Source organism: Homo sapiens, chromosome X, assembly GCF_000001405.40.
Source record: "Homo sapiens chromosome X, GRCh38.p14 Primary Assembly".
Taxonomy (NCBI): domain Eukaryota; kingdom Metazoa; phylum Chordata; class Mammalia; order Primates; family Hominidae; genus Homo; species Homo sapiens.
The window spans coordinates 35,916,505-35,943,719 of NC_000023.11; the positions used below are offsets into that span (position 1 = coordinate 35,916,505).

General features: G+C 36.6%; 1 protein-coding gene across 4 annotated transcripts in view; it reads left to right on the forward strand.

Moving 5' to 3' along the window:
- Positions 3,230–27,215, forward strand: part of CFAP47 (cilia and flagella associated protein 47) — a 465,584-nt gene continuing 441,598 nt past the window's right edge. For all 4 annotated transcript variants that reach the window (NM_001304548.2, XM_017029452.2, XM_017029453.2 and 1 more), the window contains exons 1-3: positions 3,230–3,544; positions 9,513–9,664; positions 24,779–24,894. In NM_001304548.2, coding sequence (NP_001291477.1) covers positions 3,296–3,544; positions 9,513–9,664; positions 24,779–24,894 — 517 coding nt within the window. In that variant the 5' untranslated portion in view covers positions 3,230–3,295. The remainder of the gene's footprint in view (positions 3,545–9,512; positions 9,665–24,778; positions 24,895–27,215) is intronic.

Consider the following 27,215-nt stretch of genomic DNA (forward strand, 5'->3'; position numbering starts at 1 on the left):
TTTTATCCAAAAGTCAGGCAATAATAAATGCTGGAAGGGAATCCTCATACACTGTCGGTGGGAATGTAAATTAGCACAATCACTCTGAAGAACAGTTTGGAGATTCCTCAATAAGCTAAAAACTGACCCACCATGTGATCCAGCAATCCCACTGCTGGGTATATATCCAAAAGAAAGAAAATCAGTATATCAAAGAGGCATCTGCACTCCCACGTTTGCTGCAGCACTGTTCACCATAGCTAAGACTTGAAAGCAACCTAAGTGTCCATCAACAGATAAATGGATAAAGAAAAATGGGGCATTATTCACAATAGCAAAGACTTGGAACCAACCCAAATGTCCAACAATGATAGACTGGATTAAGAAAATGTGGCACATATACACCATGGAATACTATGCAGCCATAAAAAATGATGAGTTCATGTCCTTTGTAGGGACATGGATGAAATTGGAAATCATCATTCTCAGTAAACTATCGCAAGAACAAAAAACCAAACACCGCATATTCTCACTCATAGGTGGGAATTGAACAATGAGAACACATGGACACAGGAAGGGGAACATCACACCCTGGGGCCTGTTGTGGGGTGGGGGGAGGGGGGAGGGATAGCATTGGGAGATATACCTAATGCCAGATGATGAGTTAGTGGGTGCAGCGCACCAGCATGGCACATGTATACATATGTAACTAACCTGCACATTGTGCACATGTACCCTAAAACTTAAAGTATAATAATAAAAAAAGAAAAATGGGGTACATATACACAATGGAGAACTATTCAGACATAAAAAAAGGAACGAGGTCCTGTCATTTGCAACAATGTGGATGGAACTGGAGATCATTATGTCAAGTGAAATAAGCCAGGCACAGAAAGAGAAACATTGCATGTTCTCACTTATATATGGGATCTAAAAATCAAAACAGTGAACTCATGCATAAAGAGAGTAGAAGGATGATTTCCAGAGGCTGGGAAGGGTAGTGGGGGGCACTGGGAGAGGTGGGGATGTTTAATGTGTATTAAAAAATCATTTAAAAGAATGAATAAGACCTACTGTTTGCTAGCACAACAGGGTGACTTGACTATAGCCAATAATTACTTAATTGTACATTTAAAAATAACTAAAAGAATGTAATTGAATTGTTTGTAACACAAAAGCTAAATGCTTGAGGTGATGGATACCCCATTCTCCATGATGTACTTATTTCACATTACATGCCTGTATCAAACCATCTTATGTAACCCATACATATATACACCTACTATATACCCACAAAAATTAAAAATTGAAAAAATTAAAAAGTCTTTATATGGCCATTCTTTGAAAATAGAAACTGAACAAGAGAGTTTAGAGCTAAACATGTGATGCAAATATTAGACTATTTCATCTAAAATTAATAGTTTGAGTGGATAAAAGAATATATAAGAAGCCAAGAAGGTTTATGTATAGTTACTAAGGACAATGGATTGAGCTTTAGGCTTGTTGAACTTGTAGAGCTATGTGACATTCCTCCTTTGTTGATGAGAATACCAACAGAACAGATAAACAAAATTGTTCTTCATTTGATTTTTATTGCCATATCTTTGGATTATACACAGAAGTCCAGACTTGGCTTTTATCCTTGAGAGTAAAAAATTAGGGAGTTTTGAGGCTTCTTCGCAGTTTCCAATTTTTTCAGAAATTGATTGAGGGGCTTTGTATGAGCTGTGGTCTTGATTCAGTCAAGTTATATGAACTATTGTTATTTCAATGCTGTAAAATTGTCCTGCTTAGGGGCTCAGGAACATGGACAGGATTTGTATTGTGATATGGTAGTAGCGACTAGTATAAAAATTCCAGCCATGATTCACATCTCCCACTTGTTAAACCAAGATCTATAGAATTTTGAAAGATAATGTCGATGGTTTGCATCTATCAATTCCTAAGAATTTACAAATAATAATCACCACTTCTGCTGTTTTTCAACTATTGACAGCAGTTCCAAGAAATGTGACTACTTGTCTTTGTATTTAGAACTACTTATTAATCTCTGCATCCTTGTGGAAAATGAAGCAAGAAATTCTTTATCATCTTGGTACTGTGAGAACCTTGTAAAAGTGTTGTGGGAAAGGTTTTACTGTTCAAGAATGACTAACTGTTTGGCTGGCAGATGGAGAGGCCATTCTCCTCAGAGTGAACATAATGTGCAGTAGCAAGGAGTAAATGAAAGCGTGTGGTATATTTTGAAACTCTGAGATAACAGAAGAAGGACGAGGAGAGAGTAGGGACTGGGCAATGTGAATATGAGTTTGTTGGAAAAGTCCTCATCTAGCAGCGAAGACGTGTGATCTCTATCTCCTGAGCAACACCATTTCACAAATGAGGACCCTGGAACAGTTAACAAGGTTCCTAAAGCCTCTATATTCAATGTGTGGCCCCGGAACCAGAAGCATTGTAATCACCTGGAAGCTTGCTTGTCATAAATACAGATACTTAGACCTTGCTTCAGACATACTGAAACAGAATCTGCATTTTAACAAAAGACCCAGAGGATTGCTTTTACATTGTGTGTGTGTGTGTGTGTGTGCATTTAAAAAGATACAGGTGTCACAATTTCTTATTGTTTGGTCAATTTTAAAATTTAATACTGTATAATGGATATCTCTTATGTCAACACAGATCTACGTTATTATTCATCATAAATAAACAGTAAGTTATTGTATCCATCGCTACTGATTGGTATTCATATTAATCCAATATTTTGCTATTGTAAGAAACATTCTGATTCAGAAACGCTGACGTAAAGACCTCTGAGCAGGACATCTAGGAGACACTGACTTTGTTATATCTCCCTTTCTGTTATATCTTGCTGCCTTAATAGACCACGTGGGCACATCACTTTCACTGATCTTTTTTTTCTTTGTAAATGTAAATTTTAATTGAATTATAAGGCCAGTTTACAGTGCATCTGTGGGCAGATTTCTTTAAAATGCATGGTACTTTAAACTTTGTCTTACGAGAGGTCCAGGAAAATGCCCACTAAGCCTCTGTGATTTTAATACCGTGCCAGGCCATGGCAAAGTGAGGTGCCTCTGACGTTTGGGCTGCCACAGCGTGTTTTTCAGTTACTCTGGTAACACCTGTGACCTGAGGGTTATTCTATTCGCGTTAGCAACTCGCGCGGGTTGGGAGGCGCCAATGAGAGCAGGGCTTGAAACTAGCGCTTGGCGTCTGATGGTTGCCTAGCGACGGTCGTCGACGCTAATCCTTGGCCGGACGGATCCACATCTGTTTTCTGGCTACCGAGAGGGCAGCCATGAACACCCAAAAGGGTTCCCTCACCATAAACGTCCACAGAGGTTCCCTCGCCATGAGCATCCAAAGGGGTTCCCTCGTCCCCCGGGATATGGATAGCTCGGGTAGAGACATGCAGCTGCGGGTGATCCCGGCTGAGGTGAAGTTCCTGGACACGATGGCCGGGAGGGTGTACCGCCTCCCGATTACTGTGCATAATATTTGCCGCTGGAACCAGAAAATCCGATTTAAGGAGCCCGTCAAGCCACAGGTGACACACTAAGGGGTGCTGGGAGCGGGACCTTGTGAGAGCGCCTCCTCACACTGCGTCTCTCTTTGCCCCAGGGAGTAGTCATCTGGCTCCTGCCGGGATGGAGGGAGGATTGGGCTTCCCGGGAAACAGTGACAGGTTTCTGTGTGTGTGCTCTTTTTGTTTCTCTTTGTTTTCTGTTTTGTTTAGGATTAGGAGATGGGGAGGGCAGGGTGGAGAAAAGCTGACCTAGAGCCTCCCCATTTCTTCAACCTGGGTTTAGAAACTTGTTAACAATCCCAAAATCTGTGCAACTTGGTTTTATGATTTTGCTGTTGCCTTAAGAATTATGAGAACAAAATTCTCTATTAACTGCCCTTTGAATCATAAAGTGCCTGATAACTCCAGGAACTGTAGGATTAGTGGAAAGGTTCATTATTTCATATTTTAACAAACATTTGTTAAGCACCTACTATATAACGGGTAATAGACATGAGGAATACGGAATGGACACAGCCCTGCCCTCATAGAACTTAGAAACTAATGAGGGGGTTTTAGTACAGATCTAACCATCAAGAAAGTTAATGTTCTGAGAGGGTGTTTCTATCTTCTAATTTAAAGTGGGCAGAATTTCCTCTGTATCTCACTGTGTTATTTTACATCATGTGTGTGAATGGATGGTTATTAGTTCAGTATGATCACATTTTCTCAGGCAAATTTTTGATATAGGAAATGCGATAAGAATTTTTGAAATGTAAGCAATAAATAACTGAAAACTTCAAGAGATATTCCTAATAAAAAGTAGTGTTGAATACAGCTGGACTATATGTGCAGAAAAAAAAGATGTCCGTAATTTTAGATTAAATTTACATATATTTCTTTGTATATATGTAGAAAAACCTATGTTAATGATTAGAAGAGCAATGAGAAAAAGGACTTCCATGTTCTAATTTTTGCTCTGTTAAAAAAATCGATGTATTATTTACTTACTAAAGTGCACAGATCTCAAAAGTAAAGTTTGATGAATTTACAAAAAAATAAATATGTGTGTGTGTAGATAGATAGCTAGATAGATAATCTCCATTAGCTACCACCTGGATCAAATAATAGAATATGTTCACTACCCCAGAAGATCCCCAGTGCTTCTTCCTTACAGTACCTGGAGTAATCACCCTGTGGAACTGACCACTATTCTGATTTCTAACATGGTAGATTAGTTTGGCCTCTCCTTGGCTTTCATATAAATGGAATCAGGTTTTAATGATTTTCATATTTAAATATTTTTATTAAAAAGTATATCTCAAGAGACTATTAACTCCTCTTTAAATCAAAAAGTACTTGCTTACTCCAGACACTGTAAAATTAAGGAAAGCCTGTGTTATTTCACTACCTTAGCACATATTTATTGAACAATTACTTGTGTATCTGAAAATACTTTCTTTTGAAACAAGCTGGTGGTAATAATGTTTGGATGTGGACAACCACTATTTTATGGATGTTCAGGGGACACTTGTATGGATGGTTTCTGTGCAGTAACAAGAAAAATATTATAATTGGTTTTATTTCAGTTTATATCTAGGATATAATGGAAAACAATTCATTCCACAAGTCTTGACATTGACAAGAGAACATCTAGATATGCTTAGTAGTTAGAAGCCAATATCAGTGTGAATTTTCCTTTGTTGCAAGACTATGAAATGCACTCCTGATCCTTCATAAAGGGAATTAGATAAATAGTGAAAAGTGCATCTTGTTGGGGTGGGGGATAAGAAAAAGTAAAAACAAGGTGCTGTGGAAAGGGCATTGTCATCATCACTATTATAATCACTCAGAAAATGATTCCTCTAACATACAGCAGTGCTTGTTTTTCACCCAGACTCAAGAACCTGCATTGACCCTATGTATTGAATACCCACTATGTGTCATAGATTGCTGGTAGAAAAATAAGAAGACACATACTTTATCTTCAAAGAAAATATAATTGATAGTACTATTACTGATTTTCAATAACATCCTTCAATCTCACGAACACTATCCATCTAAGAGTGTTTTTATGGCTTGTGTGGCCTCTGGTCTGGTCAGACCAGCCTTACTCATACCTGCCCCCTCTCCCTTATGACTCAGACTTCTTTTTCTTCTCACCCACATTTTCATACCCTGTCATCTGCAAAAATCATCCCTTTCCAAATCCCATGCATCTTTTAAGGTCAATGTGAGTTCTCATTTTCTCTAAGAAGTCTGTTATTATTTTATCCCCAAATTATTTCTGTCTTACTGGATACCATTTTCATTTACAGACATTCCTTATAGTTTGAATTTGTGTCCCTATGCCTCTTGTTAAATGTTAGTACTGCCTCCATTTTCAGCTCATAAACTGCTAAGAGTAGGGATGGTGCCTTGCACACATTTGCATCTCACTAAGAGTGCTCAACAACATGCAGTTTGACCAAAAGCACATGGTTCTGAAGTATTGGTTTTCCTTCTTGAAACTATAGCTTACTTACAAGAAGATAGTCAAACCTGATATGTGGACTTCCAACACCCAAAGGCTTATGTGGAAAATATTGTATCCCTTGTTTTCCTTCTGTTCTATAAATTGCACGAGGGTTGAGAGTTCAAATGTGGTAGTTAGGAGGTATCAGCATTGTTTGCTGAAAGCATGAAGCTCCCAGATCAGTGTTACTTCCAAATCACTCCACTTCTCTATATCCTTAATTGCTGCAAAGCACTATTTAGACTCAGCCTCACATTAGAATCCCTGAATAATCATTTTCAACATAACCTCCATTGTTTCTGATTGAGGACTCTTGCCCAGGGAGGCTGGCTTATTATCTGCTTTCTGAGAGACTATTTTGCTTATTCTTGTTTCTGCTTGTGTCTGAGATATTTTTACACCTATAATGAGCACCTTCCTCGCTTCTTCTCCACCTTTAATATCCATTCTCTAAGACTAGGCCAGGTACACTCCTTTCTAGCCCACAATAATCATGTCCTCTCATGGATTTTCTTGACACTTATGTCTCTATCACTCATATGGTGCTTAACTAGTCCCTGGCTTATATTTAATTTTCAAGGGGTTTGTAGTCTGCTTCCTTAAAGAGATTATGTATTCAGGAGAGGGACTCTTTCTAGTTGAAGGGGAGGAAGTGCTTATGATTTAGAGTCAGATAGATATGTTTTTGAGTCTTCACTTCCTGAGTGACTTCAGACGTTAATTATACTTTACATGTCCCAGTTCCCTCATCTATATACTGAGAGCCTTAATATCAGCCTCACAGGACTGTAGAAGTGTATTTACATAAGATAATACATGTAAAATGCTTGACACATTATAAATGCATAATAGATATTATTTCTCTTTTTTCTCCCTTTATATTTTTCCTGGCATCTAGCAAACGTCTTACTAGAACAAAAGTGTTTTTATCCTCTTTGTTGTATTCTTCTTTTATTTTTCCTCCAAGTTATGAAGCTCAAATTCCCATGGATAAAGCATATAAAATATACATATGAGGGCTGGGCACGACGGCTCATGCCTGTGATTCCCAGCACTTTGGGAGGCCGAGGCGGGCAGATCACGAGTTCAAGAGATTGAGATCATCCTGGCCAACATGGTGAAACCCCGTCTCTATTAAAAATACAGAAATTAGCTGGGCATGATGGTGCACACCTGTAGTCCCAGCTACTCAGGAGGCTGAGGCAGGAGAATTGCTTGAACCTGGGAGGTGGAGGTTGCAGTGAGCTGAGATTGCACCACTGCACTCCAGCCTGGCGACAGAACGAGAATCCGTCTGAAAAAAAAAAGTGTATATATATATATATGTGTGTATATATATATGTACATATATGTATATATGTACATATATATGTGTATATATGTACATGTGTATATATGTACATATATATGTGTATATATGTACATGTGTATATATGTACATATATGTGTATGTATGTGTATATATGTACATATATGTGTATATGTGTAAATATATATGCACATATATATGCACATATATGTGTATATGTACATGTATGCGCACATATATGTATATATGTACATGTATGCGTACATATATGTATATATGTACATGTATGCGTACATATATGTATATGTGTACATGTATGCGTACATATATGTATATATGTACATGTATGCGTACATGTATGTGTATATATGGACATGTATGTGTGCATGTATGTGTATATATGGACATGTATGTGTGCATATGGACATGTATGTGTACATGTATGTGTATATGTACATGTATGTGTACACATATGTATATATGTACATGTATGTGTATATGTGTACATATATGTGTGCATATGTGTATATATGTATATGTGCATATATGCACACATATGTGTATATATGCACACACATATGTGTATATGCACACATATGTGTATATATGTACACCTATATGTGTATATAGGTGCACCTATATGTGTATATATGTGCACCTATATGTGTATATAGGTGCACATATATGTGTATATATGCACATATATGTGCACCTATATGTGTATATATGCGCATATATGTGTATATATGCGCATATATACACACGTGCATGTGGGTATATATTATGTATGTATATGATTGAGCAACATTTTTATTAGGTTGTTCTTCCTTTTTTCTGTATTCAGATTTTAAGCTTCTTAGAATAGAAGCCACGTTAGTTCTATAAGTATCTTATATTTTTAAAGTAGTCCATTGGCATTTATATGTTTCTTAGCTACCTGCATTGTCAGATTCAAGTTGTGTACTCTTGAAAGCATATCTTAAATATTTAGAATCAGATAGGTAAAAACATGAGCATTAAGTCTTTGCCTTTAGGTACATAAGACAAATATCACTTGCTCTCACTTACATGTGAAATATAAAAATTCAGACTCGTAGAAGTAGAGAGTAGAATGGTGGTTACCAAAGGCTGAGGGTTGGGGTGGGCAGAGAAAGGAAAAATGTTGGTCAAAGGGTACAAAGTTTCAGTTAAACAGGAAGAATGAGTTCCGGTGATCTATTGTACAGCAAGGTGACTATAGTTAATAATAAAGTATTGTATGGCTGGGTGCCGTGGCTCACGCCTGTAATCCCAGCACTTTGGGAGGCCGAGACAGGTGGATCATGAGGTCAGGAGATCGAGACCATCCTGGCTAACACAGTGAAACCCCATCTCTACTAAAAAATTACAAAAAATTAGCTGGGCGTGGTGGCGGGTGCCTGTAATCCCAGCTACTCGGGAGGCTGAGGCAGGAGAATGGCGTGAACCCCAGGGGGCGGAGCTTGCAGTGAGCAGAGATCACGCCACTGCACTCCAGCCTGAGCAACAGAGTGAGACTCCATCTCAAAAAAAAAATAATAATGTATATCTCAAAATTGCTAAAAGAATGGATTTTAAATGTTCCCAGTACAAATAAATAAGTGATGTGATGGATATGTTAATTAGCCTGATTTGCTCATTCCACAATGTATACCTGTATTAGTACATCATATTGTAGTCAACGAATATATACAATTATTTGTCAATTAAAAATAAAATTAAAATTAGAAAGTCTTTGGCATTAGGGCAGGAATAGAGCCTGTATTTTGATAATAATATAACACTCCTAACTATAGTTGCTAACGTTATTTATTTATTTATTTTTTGAGACCGAGTCTTGCTCTGTCACCCAGGCTGGGGTACAATGGCACGACCTCGGCTCACTGCAATCTCCACCTTCTGGGTTCAAACAGTTCCCCTGCCTCAGCCTCCTGAGTAGCTGGGACTACAGCTGCACACCACCACGCCCGGCTAGTTTTTTGTATTTTAGTAGAGAAGGGGTTTCACCATGTTGGCCAGGATGGTCTCGATCTCCTGACCTCATGATTCGCTGGCCTCCACCTCCCAAAGTGCTGGGATTACAGGCGTGAGCCATTGTGCCCAGCCATGGTATTTTTTTTTTATAAGGAGTTAAAATGTATAATTTGACTCTCTTTCTCCCACTGAAGTTCAAACTGATGTTGACCAGTCTGGATAAAGAACTTGCTTCTGGCCTTCAGATGACAGCTATGGTGGAATATCATCCTGATAAAGACGAAGACACTTTTGACCGGCTACTTATTTCAATAGAAAATAAAACAACAGAAATTCCTCTAATTGGGTATGTAATCTTCATAGTTCATGCTGACATTTTGAATACTCTTTAAATAAAAATGAGGGTCAAAGTAATATTTTGTATTTTTTCTGACATAGTTTCCTGACAGTTGAACTTAAAGGACACATTTTTAGAAAATAGTAGTGTTTGTAAGAAATGAAACCTCATTCTCTGTTATTTTTATTTAAAAAACGACATTCAACAATTGAATGTATTAATAATTGAATTTTTGCAAACTTGTATTCACATTTTAATTTAATTTTAAAGTATTGTCAGGTTCACTTCACCAAATTTTAAATTAGGCAAATGTTTGGTGTCAAAAAAATCAAAATGCTGTTCTTCTGAGACTGGTTGAAAAATATGGATGGATGTAAGTATAAAAAAGAGCTAAGTGACTGACTTGGTTGTTACAAATTATTTAACCAGGATGAATGATGATTCATTTGTTGTTTTTTAATATTAAAAAGTATATTTCTGTTCATCATAAATTTATCAAAGTTAGTGTTAAAATTTAAAGTGTTTCTTTATTTATATACATACATATATGATCCTCCTTTTCCCCAGCAGAATGTGGTTTCCATAGGTGTTTTCTTTTGCCTCTATTTGCCCACCACCTACAGAATTAATTTGGAATATTTTCTGCGGATTACATGGTATTAGATATATACCTTTTACAAAATTCCCTTCTATTCAGGCTGGGTGCAGTGGCTCATGCCTGTAATCCTAGCACGTAGCACTTTGGGAGGCCAAGGCGGGTGGATCACTTGAGCTCAGGAGTTGGAGACCAGCCTGGGCAACATGGTGAAACCCCACCTCTACAAAAAATACAAAAAAAAGAAAAAAAAACCTGGGAGTGGTGGCGCATGACTGTAGTCCCAGCTACTTGTAGGGCTGAGGCAAGAGGATCACTTAAACCCAAGAGGTAGAGGCTACAGCGAGCCGAGATCACGCCACTGCACTCCAGCCTGGATGACAAAGTGAGACCCTATCTCAAAAAAAAAAAAAAAATTCCCTTTCTTTTTCATTTCTATAAACTAAATTTAGATCCTCAATTATTTTGTTTCTTTGTGTTGTTGAGAAGTTCTGATTTAGCACATCATCCCATTTTTGCATAGGAATCAAACAGTAGACACATGGTAGGAAAAAAACAAGCTATTAACCCAGTATAAATATTTAATTCGTGTTTTGCAGTTTAAGTAGAACCATTTTGTATGCATTCTGCACTTTGACATATCTATGACTGGCACTCAGATTTGCTTGTTTGTGGTATGTATGGAGAGACAGGTTGAAGATGCTTCTGTCCTTGAAAACAGAGATTTTTTTCTTGTTTCCAGAGTATATGCCCTCTCTCATCAGAAGCCTGTTTCTCACCATGGTTGCAATATAAGAAGAGCACTGCCCTTCTTTTGGTGTGATGGACAGGGTTGAAGGAAGGTGTGTGTGTGTGTGTGTGTGTATGTGTGTGTGCATGTGTGTTATTAATTTCTACACATTTTTTATCACCTGCGTAGGTTCTTGTATCCACCACCACAGTCAAGATAGTGAACAGTTCCAATACCACAAGAAAGTCCCTCCTGTTGCTTTATTACAACTGTATCTACTTCCCTTCTGCCTCACACCCACGAACCCTAAACTGTGGATACTGCTAATCTGTCTTCTACATCTCAAATTTTTGTCATCTCAAATATATTACATAAATCGAATCACACACTATGTAGCCTTCTGTTTTTTTCTTGCAGCAAAATTTCTTGTAGCAAAATCTTGCAAGAGATTCAGCCAAGTTGTTGAATGTATCAATATTTTGCTCCTTTTTATTGCTGAGTAGTATTCTATTTTATATATATATATATATGTATATATATATATCACAATTTGTTTAACAATTGACCTGTTGAAGAACAAAGGGACAGATTCCAGTTTTTAGCTATCACAAATAAGCTGCTTTAATATTCCTGTACAAGTATTGTCTGAGCATAAGTTTTTATTTTTTCTGGGATAAATGCTCATGAGTGTAATTGTAGGGTCATATAGTAATTACATATTTTGTTTAACAGAAAATCCCAAATTGCTTTTCAGAGCGCCTGTACCATTTTACATTTCAAAGAGTGATACATGAGTAATCCACTTTTACGGTATCTTTGCCAGTATTTTTTGCTTTCATCACTACTTAAAAATTTTAGCTATTCTGATAGATATTTAATGGAATCTCTCCATAGTTTTAATTTGCATTTCCCCAATGAATAATGATGTTGACAACATATTTTCAGGTGCTTCTTTGCCATCTGAGTACCCTCTCTAGTGAAATCTCTGTTAATGTGTTTTTCTCATTTTATGATTACATTGCTCTTTATTATTGAGTTTTGCAATTTCTTTGTATATTCTGGATACAAGTCTTTTGATGGTTATGTGGCTTGCAAATATGTTCTCCCAGTTTGAGGTTTGACTTTTCATCCTTTTAACTGGGTATTTTGTAGAACAAAAGGGTTTTTTTTTTAAACGTTCAATGATGTCCAATTTATCAATTTTCCTTTAATTAGTACTGCTTTTAGTGTTAAGTCTAAGAACTCTTTACCTAATCCTTGATCATAATGGTTGAAGATTTTCTTCTATTTTTAACTTTTAAAGTTTTACATTTAAGTCTATGATATATTTTGAGTTAATTTTTGTATAAAGTGTGATTTACATTGAGGTTCTAATTATTTCCTATAGATGTTCAATTGCTCTGACCAAATTTGTTGAAAAAGCTATTTTCCTCCATTGAATTGTGTACCCTTGAAAAAAATCACTTCAACATAATCTGCATTGGTCTATTTCTGTGTTCTGCATTTTTTTTCCATTCATCTGTGTATCCATACGTTTGCCAACATCATGCTACCTTAATTACCTTTGCTATATAGTAATTCTTAATATCATGTAGAATAATTCCTCACGTGTTATTCTTCTTTGTCACCATTAGTTTAGTTATCAAAATATCTCTACCTTTCCATGTAAATTTTAGAATAATCTTTCTGAGCCTGCAAAAAAAAAATAACTTGCTGGGCTTTTGAGAATAATTGAGCTTAGCTTATAGATCAATTTGAGGGAAATAGACATCTTTACTATAGTAATTCTCCCCAAACATGAATGTGCTATGTCTTTCCATTTATTTGGGTCTTCTTTGATTTCTTTTATCACTATTTTGTAATTTTCAGCCCAGAGATTCTCTACATGTGTTGTTAAGTGTATAACTATTTCATTTTCTTTGGAGTGATTGCAAATAATATTGTGTTTTTAATTTTGGTTACTGCATATTCCTTGTTGCTATATACAGAGAAGTGATTGATTTTTGTTTGTTGACATTGTATCCTCTGACCTTGCTGAACTCCCTTTTTAGGAGGTTTTTGTATGTTTTTTTAGATTCCTTGCCATCTTATATGTAGATAATCGTGCCATCTGTAGACAGGGATAATTCGTTTGTGTGTTTTTTCCCATTCAAAAGCATATGCTTTTTACCTTTTTTTCTTTCTTTATTTCCATGGCTATAACTTTCAGTATTATGTTGTGTAAGAGTGGTGAAGCTGGCTTGGTGGCTCACGCTTGTAATCCCAGCACCTCGGGAGGCTGAGGCAGGCGGATCACTTGAGGCCAGGAGTTCGAGACCAGCCTGGCCAACATGGAGAAACCTCGTCTCTACTAGAAATACAAAAATTAGCTGGGCGTGGTGGTGCACACTTGTAATCTCAGCTACTTGGAAGGCTGAGGCACGAGAATCACCTGAGCCTGGGAGGTGGAGGTTGCAGTGAGCTGAAATCATGCCAATGCACTTCAGCCTGGGTGACAGAGTGAGACTGTCTCAAAAAAACAAAACAAAACAAACAAACAAAAAAAAACAGTGAGACATCCTTTCCTGACGATTTTAGCTGTCAGTATTTTTGGATGGCCTTTATCAAGTTGAAGTAATTCCCAACTATTCTAAATTGCTAAGAGTTTTTATTATAAAGGAGTGTTAAATTTTGTCAGATGCATTTTCTGTGTCAACTTACATGATCATATTTTTTTTCCATAACTTAGTGATATGATGGATTACATTGGTTAATTTCTTAATGTTGAATCAGTCTTGCCCTTGTATACATGAAATAAATCCATTTTAGTCATCATGTATCATTCTTTTTATATATCCTGGAATTTGATTTGCTCATGTTTTATTAGGGATTATTGTGTCCCAGTTTATTAGTGATATTGGTTTATAGTTTGATTGATTGATTGATTTCTTTGCTTTTTTTAATTGTCATTGTATGGTTTAGCTATCAGGATAGTGCCAGCCTCATAAAATGAATTTGGAAATGCTGCGTCTTCTATATTCTAGAAGAGCTTATTTAATATTGATAGCAATTATTTAAATGGTAGAATTCTCTAGTGGAACTGTCTGGCCTGGAAATTTTTCTTTCAGAATGTTTTAAATTATGAATTTAGTTTTTTGATGCTTATAGGGCTATTCATACTGCCTATATTATTATGTTGTTACTGTAGTTTCTCATTTCCATGGAATTCTTCCAACTCTAAGTTGTCAAATTTATGATTTTAGAGCTGTTAGAAATTTTTTCTGATTATTTTTAAATAAATAATAAGCTGCTGCATCTGTAGTGATATCCTTTCTTTCATTTCTGATGTTGAACATGTGTGTATTTTGTCCTTTTTAAAAGTATTGCTAGTGGTTTATCAACTTTATATTTTTTCCAAAGAATCAGCTTTCTATCGTTGACTTTCCTTTCATTTTATTTTAAATTCCGTTGATTGCTGCTCTCTATTATTTCTTTTCTTCTGTTTGATTTGAATTAATATTGCTCTTGTTCTAGTTTTTGATATTGGAAATTAGATAATGAGTTTGAGAAAATCTCTCATTTCTAATGTAAATATGTAACGTTATAAATGACCCTCAGCACTGCTTTAGCTGTGTCCTACAAATTTTTATATATTTTTATTTTGACTCAATTCTATGTATTTAATTTTTTTTAAAGTTTCTCTTTGACTCCTGGATTATTTAGAAGTGTGTTAATTTCCACAGGTTTATTATGGACATATTTATGATCGTTATTCCTTTCTGGTAGATTGATCCTTTTATTATATATAATGTCCCTCCTTGTGCATGGTGATTTTCTTGCACTGAAGCCTCTAGTAGATATTAATGTAGCTTTTTGCACTTTTTTTTCTAAGTAAAATTTGAATACTATGTTTTTTCCTATTCGTTTACTTTCACCCTACTATGGCCTTGAATTTAAACTGAGTTTTTTCTAAGCAGCAGCATATAGTTGGGCAATGGTTCCCTTCCCCATATTTCGACCTCTGTCTTTGGATTGTTGTATCTAGGCTATTTATATTTAAGTTAATTTGTATATGCTATAATTTGTCTGCTTGTTTATTATTTGTTTTCTCATTGTTCTCTTTGTTTCTCATACTTCTGTTTCTCATTTTTGCATTCCTGTAGGTTAATTGAAGGTTATTTTAGGGTTGCATCTTGATTTATTTATACTGTTTTGTGTGCATCTCTTTGCATAATTATTGTAGTGGTTTTTCTGGATACTTCAATATGCATACATGATATAATATTCTAGTGGCATAAACATTTTGTCACTTTAAGTGAAGTGTAGAAGCTTCATTTCCATTTGAGTCTTTTTTTCTTTCCCTACTTTTAAATATTACTGTCTTGAATATCTAAGGGTGTTATGATTCTTGTTTTCATCATCAAATATAATTTATAAAACTTATGAGGAAAAATATAGCTGATTGTATGTAGCTAGTGCTTTGCTATTTCCATTGCTCCTCCCCCTCTCCCTCCCTCCCTCCTTTCCTTCCTTCTTGGCTTCCTCCCTCCCTCCCTCCCTCCTTTCCTTTCTTCCTTCCTTGCTTCCCTCCTTTCTCTTTTTTGAGGCAGGGTCTTCCTCTGTTGCCCAGGTTGGAGTTCAGTGGTGTCAACATGGCTCACTGCAACCTCAACCTTCTGGGCTCTAATGATCCTCCCTCCTCAGCCCCCCAAGTTGCTTGGACTACAAACATGCACCACCAAGCCTGGCTAATTTTTTCTTTCTTTCTTTTTTTCTTTTCTTTTCTTTCTTTCTTTCTTTCTTTTTTTTTTTTTGAGATGGAGTCTCTCTCTGTTGCCCAGGCTGGAGTGCAATGGCGCAATCTCGGCTCACTGAAACCTCCACCTCCCAGGTTCAAGTGATTCTCCTGCCTCAGCCTCCTGAGTAGCTGGGATTACAAGCACCCGCCACCACGCACTTTTAATTTTTTGTAGAGGTGGGGTTTCACTATGTTGTGCAGGCTGGTCTGAAACTTTTGGGCTCAAGCAATCCTCCCACCTTGGCCTCCCAAAATGCTGGGATTACAGGTGTGAGCCACCATGCTCAGCCTGCTCCATTTTTTTCTTTCTGATACTCCAAGATTCTCTCTTTTATTATTTCCTGACTTTCTGAAGAACTTTATTATATTTAATTTTTTTTTTTTGAGACGCAGTCTCACTCTGTCGTCAGGCTGGAGTGCAGTGGCGTGATCTCAGCTCACTGCAACCTCTGCCTCCTGGGTTCAAGTGATTCTCCTGCCCCAACCTCCTGAGTAGTTGGGATTACAGGCACGTGCCACCATGCCCAGCTAATTTTTGTATTTTTAGTAGAGATGAGGTTTCACCAGGTTGGCCAGGATGGTCTCGGTCTCTTGACCTTGTGATCTGCCCGCTTTGACCTCCCAAAGTGCTGGCATTCAGGTGTGAGCTGCCATGCCTGGCCATATTTAATTTTTATGGGTGCATAGTATGTGTATATATTTAAGGTTCACATGAGATATTTTGATACAGGCATGCAATGACTAATAATCACATCAAGATAAATGAGGTATCCATCACCTCAAGCATTTATCCCTGTGTTACAAATAATTCAGTTACAGTCTTTTAGTTATTTTAAAATGTACAATTAAATTATTTTTTACTGTGGTCATCTTGTTGTGATAGTAAATACTAGGTCTTATTATTTATTCTTTCTAATTATATTTTTACACGCATTAACCCTCCCCCTTCTTCCCCACCCCCAATTACCCTTCCTAGCCTCTGGTAACCATCCATCTACTCTCTATCTTCATGAGTTCAATTGCTTTAATTTTTAGATCACACAAATAAGTGAGAAATAGAATGCTTGTCTTTCTATGCCTGGCTTATTTCACTTAACATAATGACCTCCAGTTACATCTATGTGTAAATGACTGGATCTCATTTTTTATGGCTAAATAGTACTTCATCGTGTATATGTAGCACATTTTCTTTATCAGTTCATCTGTTGATGGACACTTGGGTTGCTTCCAATTCTTGGCTACTGTGAACAGTGCTACAATAAACACGAGAGTGCAGATATCCCTTCAATACACTGATTTATTTTCTTTGGGTATATACTGAGCAGTGGAATTGCTGGATCTTAATGGTGGCTTTATTTATAGTTTTTTGAGGAGCCTCCAAACTGTTCTCCTTTGCTTTGTGGTTGTACTAATTTACATTCCTACCAACAGTGTATGAGGGTTACCTTTTCTCCACATCCTTGCTAGCATTTGTTACTTCCTAACCTTTGGATAAAAGACATTTTAATTGGGGTGAGATGATATCTCATTGTAGTTTTGATTTGCATTTCCCTGATGATCAGTGATGTTGAGCATTTTTTCATGTGACTATTTGCCATTTGTATGTCTTCTTTTGAGAAATGTCTATTCAAATTTTTTGCCCATTTTTAAATTTAACTATTGATTTTTTCCTAGAGAGTTGTTTGAGGTCCTTATATATTCTGGTTATTAATCCTTTGACAGATGTGTAGTTTGCAAATATTTTTCCCATACTGTGGGTTGTCTCTTCACTTTGTTGATTGTTTTCTTTGCTGTGCACAAGCTTTTTTACTTGATGTGATCCTGTTTGCCAATTTTTGCTTTGGTTGCCTGTGCTTGTGGGGTGCTACTCAAGAAATCTATGCTCAGTCTAATGTTCTGAAGAGTTTTCTGGGTGGGTCCAGGGGGTACCATCCAGGAACAAGGGACTGGGGTAAAGTACCTTAGAAGTCTACCTATTGTACTGTGGCTGAGCTGGTACTCAAACCACAAGACAATGTTCTTCCCAGTCTTTCCTTCCCTTTCCAGAGGCAGAGGCGCCTCACCCTATGGCCGCCACCACCACTGGCCCACAGGGAGTACTGCCAAGCTTACTACTGATGTTCTCTTAAGGCCCAAGGTCTCTTTAGTCAGCTTGTGGTGAATGTTGTTTGGCCTGGGACTCATCCTTCAGGTCAGTAAACTCCCTTGTGGCCCAGGGCAGGTCCAGAAATGCCATCCAAGAGTTAAGGCCTGGAATCCGGGTCCCCAAAGGCCTGCTTGGTGTTCTATACCTCTGTGGCCAAGCTGATACCTAAGGTACTAGATACAACCCTTTTACTTTTCCCTCCACTTATGTCAGGTGGAAGGAGTCTTGCCCTGTAGCCACCACAGCTGGGAATGTGTTGAATCTCACCTGAAGCCAGCAAGTTTCCAAGTGTCACCCAAGGCCCATGGCACACTACTTAGGTATCACTGCAGGTTACTCAGGGCCCAAGGGCTCTTTAGTCAGCAGGTGATGAATCTTGCCAGGATTGGATCCTTCCCTTCAAGGCAATAGGTTTCCTTCTGGCCCAGGGTGTGTCTAGAAATGTTATGTGTGAGCTAGGGCCTGGAAAGGTGGCCTCACACCTCTGACTGGTGCTCTATCCTACTGTGGCTAAGCTGGTATACAAGATTCAAGACAAAGTCCTATTTATTCTTGCCTCTTCTCTCCTCAAGTAGAAGGAAGGGGTCTCTTTTGGAGCCATGAGCTATGCAGCCTGGAGTTGGGGAAAGGGTTGGCACAAGCACTCCCCTAGCCACACCAGCTGGTGTCTTAGTAGGTTGTGTGTCTCCCCATGTCCACTGACTTTGACCCCAGTTTAACACTAGAACTCATCTAGAAGTTGCAGTCCTTGTGGCCTAGACTGCCTTTCAAGTTAATCTATGGTCCCAGAGCATGTTAGCTCATGGTGGCAAGGCTTGCTAGAACTCAAGTCGTGACCACTGGGATAGGTGATTCCTCTCTGGCTAGTGCTGGTTTAAATGTTCCCCCCATGGGCAGGCATCAGCTTAGTTCCCCTGTTTTACTTTCTGCTGTGACAGGGCAGCAGTGAGTTCAATGCAGTGACTCACAATTGCTGTGATCTTCCTCCCTCAAATGCACAGATTCTCTCTCCATGCCATGCTGCCACTGCTGGGGGTTGGGGAGGGTTGACAGAGGTGATTCAAAACTGTGTTTCCTACACTCTTGAATGCCTCTTTCAGTGATATGAAGTTAAAACCAGGTACTGTGAGTGCTCACCTGATTTTTGGTTTTTACGAAGTTGCTTTTTTTTTTTTTTTTATATAGATAGTTGTTAAATTGGTGTCCTTGTAGGAGGGATGATAGGTGGAGCCTTCTTCCTCTGCCCACTTGAAGAATTTTTTTAGGTGATCTTTAAGTGTGTGTTTGCTAGTGACAAGTTCTTTTAGTTTTTCTTTGTCTAATGTCTGTATTTCCCCTTCATTATCAAACGTAGTTTTAACAGAAATCGAGTTTTCAGTTGACAGTTTTCTTTTTCTTTCAGTACTAGAAAAATATTGTGACACTTCCTTCCGGACTCCATGGAGTCAGATGTGATACGTGCATTCATTTAATTTGGTGTTTCTCTATATGGAACACATTCTTTCTCTCTGGCTGATTTCATGATTTTTGTTTTTATCTTTTGTTTTCAAAAGTTCAATTATGATATGCCTTTACATGATTTTCTTTGAGTTTATCAGGTTTGGGTTCACTCAGCTTTTTTGAATTTGTATGTCAGTGTCTGTTGCCAAGTTTTGGAAGTTTTAGCCATTATTTGCATTTAACTATTATTTCAGCCCCATTCTCTTTCTTCTGTTCTTCTGAGACTTTAATGATGCAAATATTGGATCATTTGTTATTGTCCCACAGGCCTCTGAGACTTTGCTCATTTTTTTCTCTTTCTCTCTCAGTCTTTGTCAAGTCTGGGTGAATTCTATTAATCGAGCTTCCATTTCACTCATTTTATCTTCTGTTATCTCCATCCTGGTATTGTGTTCATCACTATGTTTTTAGTTTGGTTGTTGTATTATTCAATTCTATAATTTCTATTTGATTCTTTTTTATAACTTGTATTTATTTGCTGAGATTTTCTATTTATTCATTAGTTTCAAAAAAACTTGAAATTGCTTGTTGCAGCATTTTTTTTTTTTTTTTGGCAGTTGCTTTAAAATCCTTGCTAGATAATTTCAACCTGAGGTTCATCTTGGTTGACATCTGTTGATTGTCTGCTCTCATCAAAATCGTTATTTTTTTGGTTCCTGATATGACAGGTGATTTTTGATTGAATGCTAAATTTTTTTTTCTGTTATGTTAGGAGACTCTGGGTCTTATTTAAATCTGTTATTTTAACAGGCACACACCCCATTTATGTTCAGCATGTTTTTCTTAGCCTATTTTGTATGCTGTGGTTGTGATGACAATTTAGTTTTCAGTATGTTTGAGGTATTATTTTGATCCATTTTATTTATATGTTATCACTACTGCTCCCACTGTCTTCTGCTGGTGCTTCCTGAAGGAGTGGAGGCATTTTTTTTTCCCAGGCCTGGCTGCCACATGTCTCTTGATAGAGGAGAAATGTGGTGAGAACGCTATACAAGTACCCCCTTGGCTGCCCAGGTCTTCTGAGCAGATAGAAAAATCTGACTTATGGGGCAAAGAAGTTTGTTGTACTGGGCCAGTTGCTGTATCTAGATCTCTTGCAAGTCCCGCTTACCTTTCCAGTGTCCCTGAGTGAAAAAGGAGAGGTTTGAGCCAGCAGTGACAAAGAGGCTTTTCAGATATAGCTGCTTGCAATTGCTGTTTTTTTTTTTTTTTTTTTTTTTTTTTTTCCTGGTTTCCTCAAAACTACCTTGGTGTCTTTGGACAGAAAACTCCTGAGAAAGAGAACTCCTCTTCTGCAGGATCTCAGGCCTGGAGTAGAAGGAGAGTGCTTCCCCTTGTCACTTATGATTGGTATACCTCTTAATTGATCCCCAGGCTGGCATTGTCTGGCTCACCTGGTGTGTTCAGGGGGGCTCCTGTTTGATCCAGAAAAAGAATGATTCTAACTAGGTCAGCGGGCAAAGAATACTGGGTCTGCGTGGCCTTTCTCTGTTGGTTGGGGGATTGTGAGACACCCTGCTGCTATTGTTCCTCCAGTCCCAGAGTTCTAAATCAGCCAGTTCTCCTTTTCACCACCTTTCATCATTCTCTTTTGCTTGCCTCGTGTACCATTTTCAGGGTTTATAGTTGTGTTTAGTAGAAGGAACAGGAAAAAATAGGCTTATGCTATTTTTTTCTGGACCAGAAGTTTGTATTTGTTTGTTTCTCTCCATTAGATTGTAAAATTCTTGAGGTCCAGGGGAGTTTTATTTTTTTCTATAATCTAAATTGTATATACTCAGTGAATGTTTTGTGAATAAAGTTAGTCCAACTGGATCTGAACTACTCCCTAATGGCATGACTGGAATGTGATTAAAAAAAACTGTTGGAGTGAGCACATTTATTTTTACTTCAGAGTTTCTGTATATGGATCAGACATGTAATGAACCTTCTATTTGTTATGGAGTGAACCCTGAAAAAAGAAGAAAGAAAACAGAAACTACATGATTGATTTCTACATTTTCGTACATCAACCTGGACTTCCAAAGTGCCCTAGTTGGTAGATGATATAATTAGTGATTTTCAGAGCTTTTTTTTATGTGTCTCCCAAAACTATGACCTTCTTTTATATTTAAAAATATCTACGATTTTCATCATTAGTTTGAACACTTGTAAAGAGGTAATGGCTTATATATAGTGAGTGTTACGATTTAAAAATAAAATACTTATATGCCTTTTTAAAATGTATCCAGTAGAATGAAAATATCAATAATATGTTAGCAGGTGAAAAAATTACCTCTTTTCTTTTCCTCTTAAATTTGTAGCTCCATTCCATTTTTCACCACAGCATCACATCCTAATGTATTACATTTTTATGCTTAGAAGTTTTTTTCATGATCACCAGGAATAAAGTGCATAGGTAATTTGTCTATAGTTTATGTCTATATAGGTATATGTACATATGAACCTATATGTGTGCATCAAATAAACAGCTATATGTTTAAATATACTTGCTATAGTCATAAATCCATGCATATTTTTAATAATTCTTATAAATGATATTATTAATACAAATTGATTTAAACTCCATATATCAAACTAAGTTTGACGAGTTTTTTTTTAACAGAAAAGCAAAGTATTACTGGAAATATTTATAATCAGATGAATGGAGCATTTTAAACTTTTATTTAGTTAGCATGTTTATGGATGATAGATACTTATTGCTTATGTGAATCCCACATGCATTTTATCCCTATTTAAAATTTTTTGATATGGATGCTGAGAGAAGTTGTCTCCATAATGAGTAGATTGGAATGAAAGGATTTTATTGTAGTAATATCTCTCAATTTTTTCAACTCCGTAAAGTTATAGGGTAAAATTACAGCAGTTGTTTATCAAGTGTTATTTTTAACAATGTGTCAGCTACGTCAGTTGTATTCCCCTCTTTTAATGTTGATGAAAGAAAACTGGATAAACACATTTATGTAAATGGATTTGTTACCTAGTAATTTTGGTCACTCACTTTATCAATATCAACACCAATATTTTCAATTGTCCCTTAGTTTGGTGTCCCAGAGATGTTTCCACTCCAAAGCAATGCATCACCATTAAACTAAGAAAAGATGACATCTATTTCTCCTTTTGTATAAATAAATGGGAGAGGAATTGTGAAAAATGGGCTGAGAAAACAAAATATGCATAGACCTCTTTGTTCTATTTGTATCAGCAAATATACCGAATGAGATAGTAAAATGAGAAGATGCCTTTATACCATTGGAAGGTATTGTTTACCTATTAGGGCATCCCTGAGTTTAATGACCACTTGTACTTAGCCTTGTTGTGTTTGTCATTCTCTTCTTTTCTAGAGATTCCTTATACTATTGTCCTTATTTTTTTTAAATTTAATTTAATTTTATTATTATTATACTTTAAGTTTAAGGGTACATGTGCACAATGTGCAGGTTAGTTACATATGTATACATGTGCCATGCTGGTGTGCTGCACCCATTAACTCGTCATCTAGCATTAGGTATATCTCCCAATGCTATCCCTCCCCCCTCCCCCCACCCCACAACAGTCCCCAGAGTGTGATGCTCCCCTTCCTGTGTCCATGTGTTCTCATTGTTCAATTCCCACATATGAGTGAGAATATGCGGTGTTTGGTTTTTTGTTCTTGCGATAGTTTACTGAGAATGATGATTTCCAATTTCATCCATGTCCCTACAAAGGACATGAACTCATCATTTTTTATGGCTGCATAGTATTCCATGGTGTATATGTGCCACATTTTCTTAATCCAGTCTATCATTGTTGGACATTTGGGTTGGTTCCAAGTCTTTGCTATTGTGAATAGTGCCGCAGTAAACATACGTGTGCATGTGTCTTTATAGCAGCATGATTTATAGTCCTTTGGGTATATACCCAGTAATGGGATGGCTGGGTCAAATGGTATTTCTAGTTCTAGATCCCTGAGGAATCACCACACTGACTTCCACAAGGGTTGAACTAGTTTACAGTCCCACCAACAGTGTAAAAGTGTTCCTATTTCTCCACGTCCTCTCCAGCACCTGTTGTTTCCTGACTTTTTCATGATCGCCATTCTAACTGGTGTGAGATGGTATCTCATTGTGGTTTTGATTTGCATTTCTCTGATTGCCAGTGATGGTGAGCATTTTTTCATGTGTTTTTTGGCTGCATAAATGTCTTCTTTTGAGAAGTGTCTGTTCATGTCCTTCACCCACTTTTTGATGGGGTTGTTTGTTTTTTTCTTGTAACTTTGTTTGAGTTCATTGTAGATTCTGGATATTAGCCCTTTGTCAGCTGAGTAGGTTGCAAAAATTTTCTCCCATTTTGTAGGTTGCCTGTTCACTCTGATGGTAGTTTCTTCTGCTGTGCAGAAGCTCTTGAGTTTAATTAGATCCCATTTGTCAATTTTGGCTTTTGTTGCCATTGCTTTTGGTGTTTTAGACATGAAGTCCTTGCCCATGCCTATGTCCTGAATGGTAATGCCTAGGTTTTCTTCTAGGGTTTTTATGGTTTTAGGTCTAACGTTTAACTATTGTCCTTAGATAGGCACTTCCTCTGATAGCTGACTAGATACTCTGTTGTCCTCAGAGGTCAACTGTCTTTATATGCTGTGGTGTGTATGAAGCCAAAACAAGATTTCAAGATTTTTTTACAAGAGGAAGAGAAACTAACAGGAGATGCAGAGAAATCATTATATATTACCAAAATCTTAACACTGAAGTAGACTCTGTCTCTCTTTTTCTCTCTCCCCCGCTCTCTCTCTCTGTGCGAAGTGTGGAGATTCCTAAGAAATTATTCTTAAGACCTTTTCCTATATCCAAAGTATGATAATATACTTAGGGGTACTTTTTAACCATGAATGTCTAGCCAAATAGAAAATGTATGTAACCTTATATGGTTTGTATATAAGATGATAATGGATTTTTACAAACTTGTAGGAACACATGCTACAAATATGCTACAGTGAATTTTTTAGAAATACATATGGAAAATAAATTGTACTTACATTTTGTAAGTACTTACATCTTGTACTTACATCTTGTTTTAGACCCTAAATGATATGTTACAGCATCACTGCATTCTTTTATTTCATAAGATTTGGAGACATTCAAACTATTTATTTGGGATGACATACCATGCACTTAGATGCATAAAGTCTCATTTCTTTGTTAAAAATGTAACCCATTACCTTGTTTTCATATCTTTATTTCATAATTCCTTTTATTGACAAACATGCCACCAGTAGACCTGTAAATAAACTGAAATGTCTTTTAAGGGCTTAAGTGTCCATCTATATTCCCCTACATATTTAGCTATCAGGCTCTTATGATTGTTAAATTAATTATGTGGCCTTCTTTTCTCCTCCCTAGGTTGATTCCATCCTGTCAATTGGAAATTGAATCAGTAGTTAATTTTGGCACACTGGTTGCCAATAGTAAAGTATATTCTAAAGAGATTACTATCACTAACCATGGCAAAGCTCCAGGTAAATCCTTCCTGTCATATTTACTTACACTTTTAGAAGAGTTGGTATTATTTGAAATGTATACCTTGTGTAATAGATTACCTAATTTAACTGAAAAAAGGTCTATCATTTCAAATAGCTCAAAACCAAAGGTCCTTAATAGTATTACTGTAAAAGACTGATAGGCAACAATTCAAGAAAAATGAACCTTCCTCCTTATGATCCTGATTAATACAGTCAGAAAATGGTGAAATCCCTCAGGATAGGAGGCAGGATAGTGTCAGAGAAGTTACATAGTTCAGAGACAGAATTAGAGCACAGCGCCTTATTAGTTGTGTGATCTGGGGCAAGTATTTTTAAGGATTTTGAACTTGAGATTCCTCATTTATAAACGGGTGCTGATAAAATGTATGATGATGAATTATGTACATACTTTAAACTGTGGTATGTTACTTGGCTCATCATAGATGCTTAATAAATATTTGTCTTCTTTCTCAATCATATTCAACTTTAATTTAATGTCAAACTCCCCAGAAGGCTTTTACTAATTCTTTTTTGAAGGAATAAATACTTCTCTCTTTTCCAGATTTAATTATTTCCAGGGATTCTTACTGTGGCCTAAGAGTTTACATAAGGATGTGTGTGTGTGTCTGTGTGTGTGTGTGTGTGTGTGTCTGTGTGTGTATATTCATATACACTTTAAATTGATAGCATACAATAAGCATAGGATTGCTTATCCCTTCAGTGTCCTGATTCAATGGCATGTGGGGTTGCAAGATTGCCATTTCTCCCAATCTAAAATGAGGACTAGCTCCAGACAGGGAGGGTATTTCTATCTGAGACTGTTTGTTGAATATATAAAGTAGGTCTTAAATCCAAGCTTCTATTCCACTAACTGAGAGTGTTCTCTGGGGCCACCTGATTGAGCATTGGGAATTATGAAGACAAAGGCAGTCTGTCAGTTTACTGATTTCTTCTTAGGATACAAAGGAATAAAACTCATAACCGTTCCACATTGGATGTTACTCATCTCACTTTCTATGCTTTGGTTTTTAAATGAGTGCATGTCTGATGCCTGTGGGATTATAGAATTAGGCTCGTTTGTGGCCTGACTCGAGTGTTAAGGAGGAAGTCTCTTACAGCAAGTGATATGGGCAATATGATCCTTTAGACTCTCTAGTTATATTTTAGAGCACTGATATTTAATTAAGGTATTTTTATTTGTATTATTTTACTTTCCAGAATTTCTTTTAACTGTTGTATATTCAATAACCTTCAATGTTTTGATAGCAATAATATATTCCCTTCTTGTTCTAAAATCTCACCAAATTTTACAGTTTCATTTCATATGAAAACTCTCTGTAAGTAAAAAAGGAATATGGTTTTACTTTTCATTGAACATTTAATATAATTTTACTCAATAAATTAGAATAAGTACAATTAAGCTGCAGACCAGAATACATAATGTTTTAGGAAAAATACTGCGCATTGGCTATTAGGATTATGTTAGTATTTTATTTGTATATAGTATTTGTAATACCTTGGTTGGGTTTATTATACTTGAGTACTGTGAAATGTTAATGGCTATTACCTTACAAACTGAAACAAATTGTGATCAATGAATTACATTTTCTTAGTGTTGACTTTATCCCACATGCTTGGAATCAAATCAGATTATTGTTTCTACTATTATCAAAATTGATACTGTATATTACATTCAGATTAGCTAGTGCCTATAAAGTGTCATAAAGTCCTTATCATCTACAAGCAAAATATATACGTGTTCATGATAATAGCAATGTATATTCATGAAGAAAAACATTCTGAAAATAGATTCAGCCATCAAAGTTGATTTTAATAACATTTTTAAAAAACATTTTATATGGTGAATTTTTTGTAGGTTTAGAGTCAAAGTTCAAATGCTTACAAATTTGTATGTATACTTAATAGGATATTTAAAACTCAACACTTGGCAGATTTAACATTTCCACATCTTTGTTTTCTCTCTCTGGTAGTATCACTGCAGTTATAACCTTTGTTTTTATAGACCCCCAAAGTTTATGTGTGTAACAACTCCTTGATGATTTATTTTAATAGTCTCTTATGGAGTAAACATCCATGGATCTAGCCATATGTTGTTGAATAACTTTTGTTTCCTCATCCTTTATAGAAATGGTTCCCAAATTTACCCCTGACTGTACAAAGCAGTGCTCATCTTTTCTTTCTGAAGACATGGTCCATTCTTTATGGTGTCTCTAATGTTAGTACTTTGTAGGTTAATAAATTCCATATTTACTTTTATGATTTTATGGCTTGATAATACCACTATTGTTTCTCAGCTT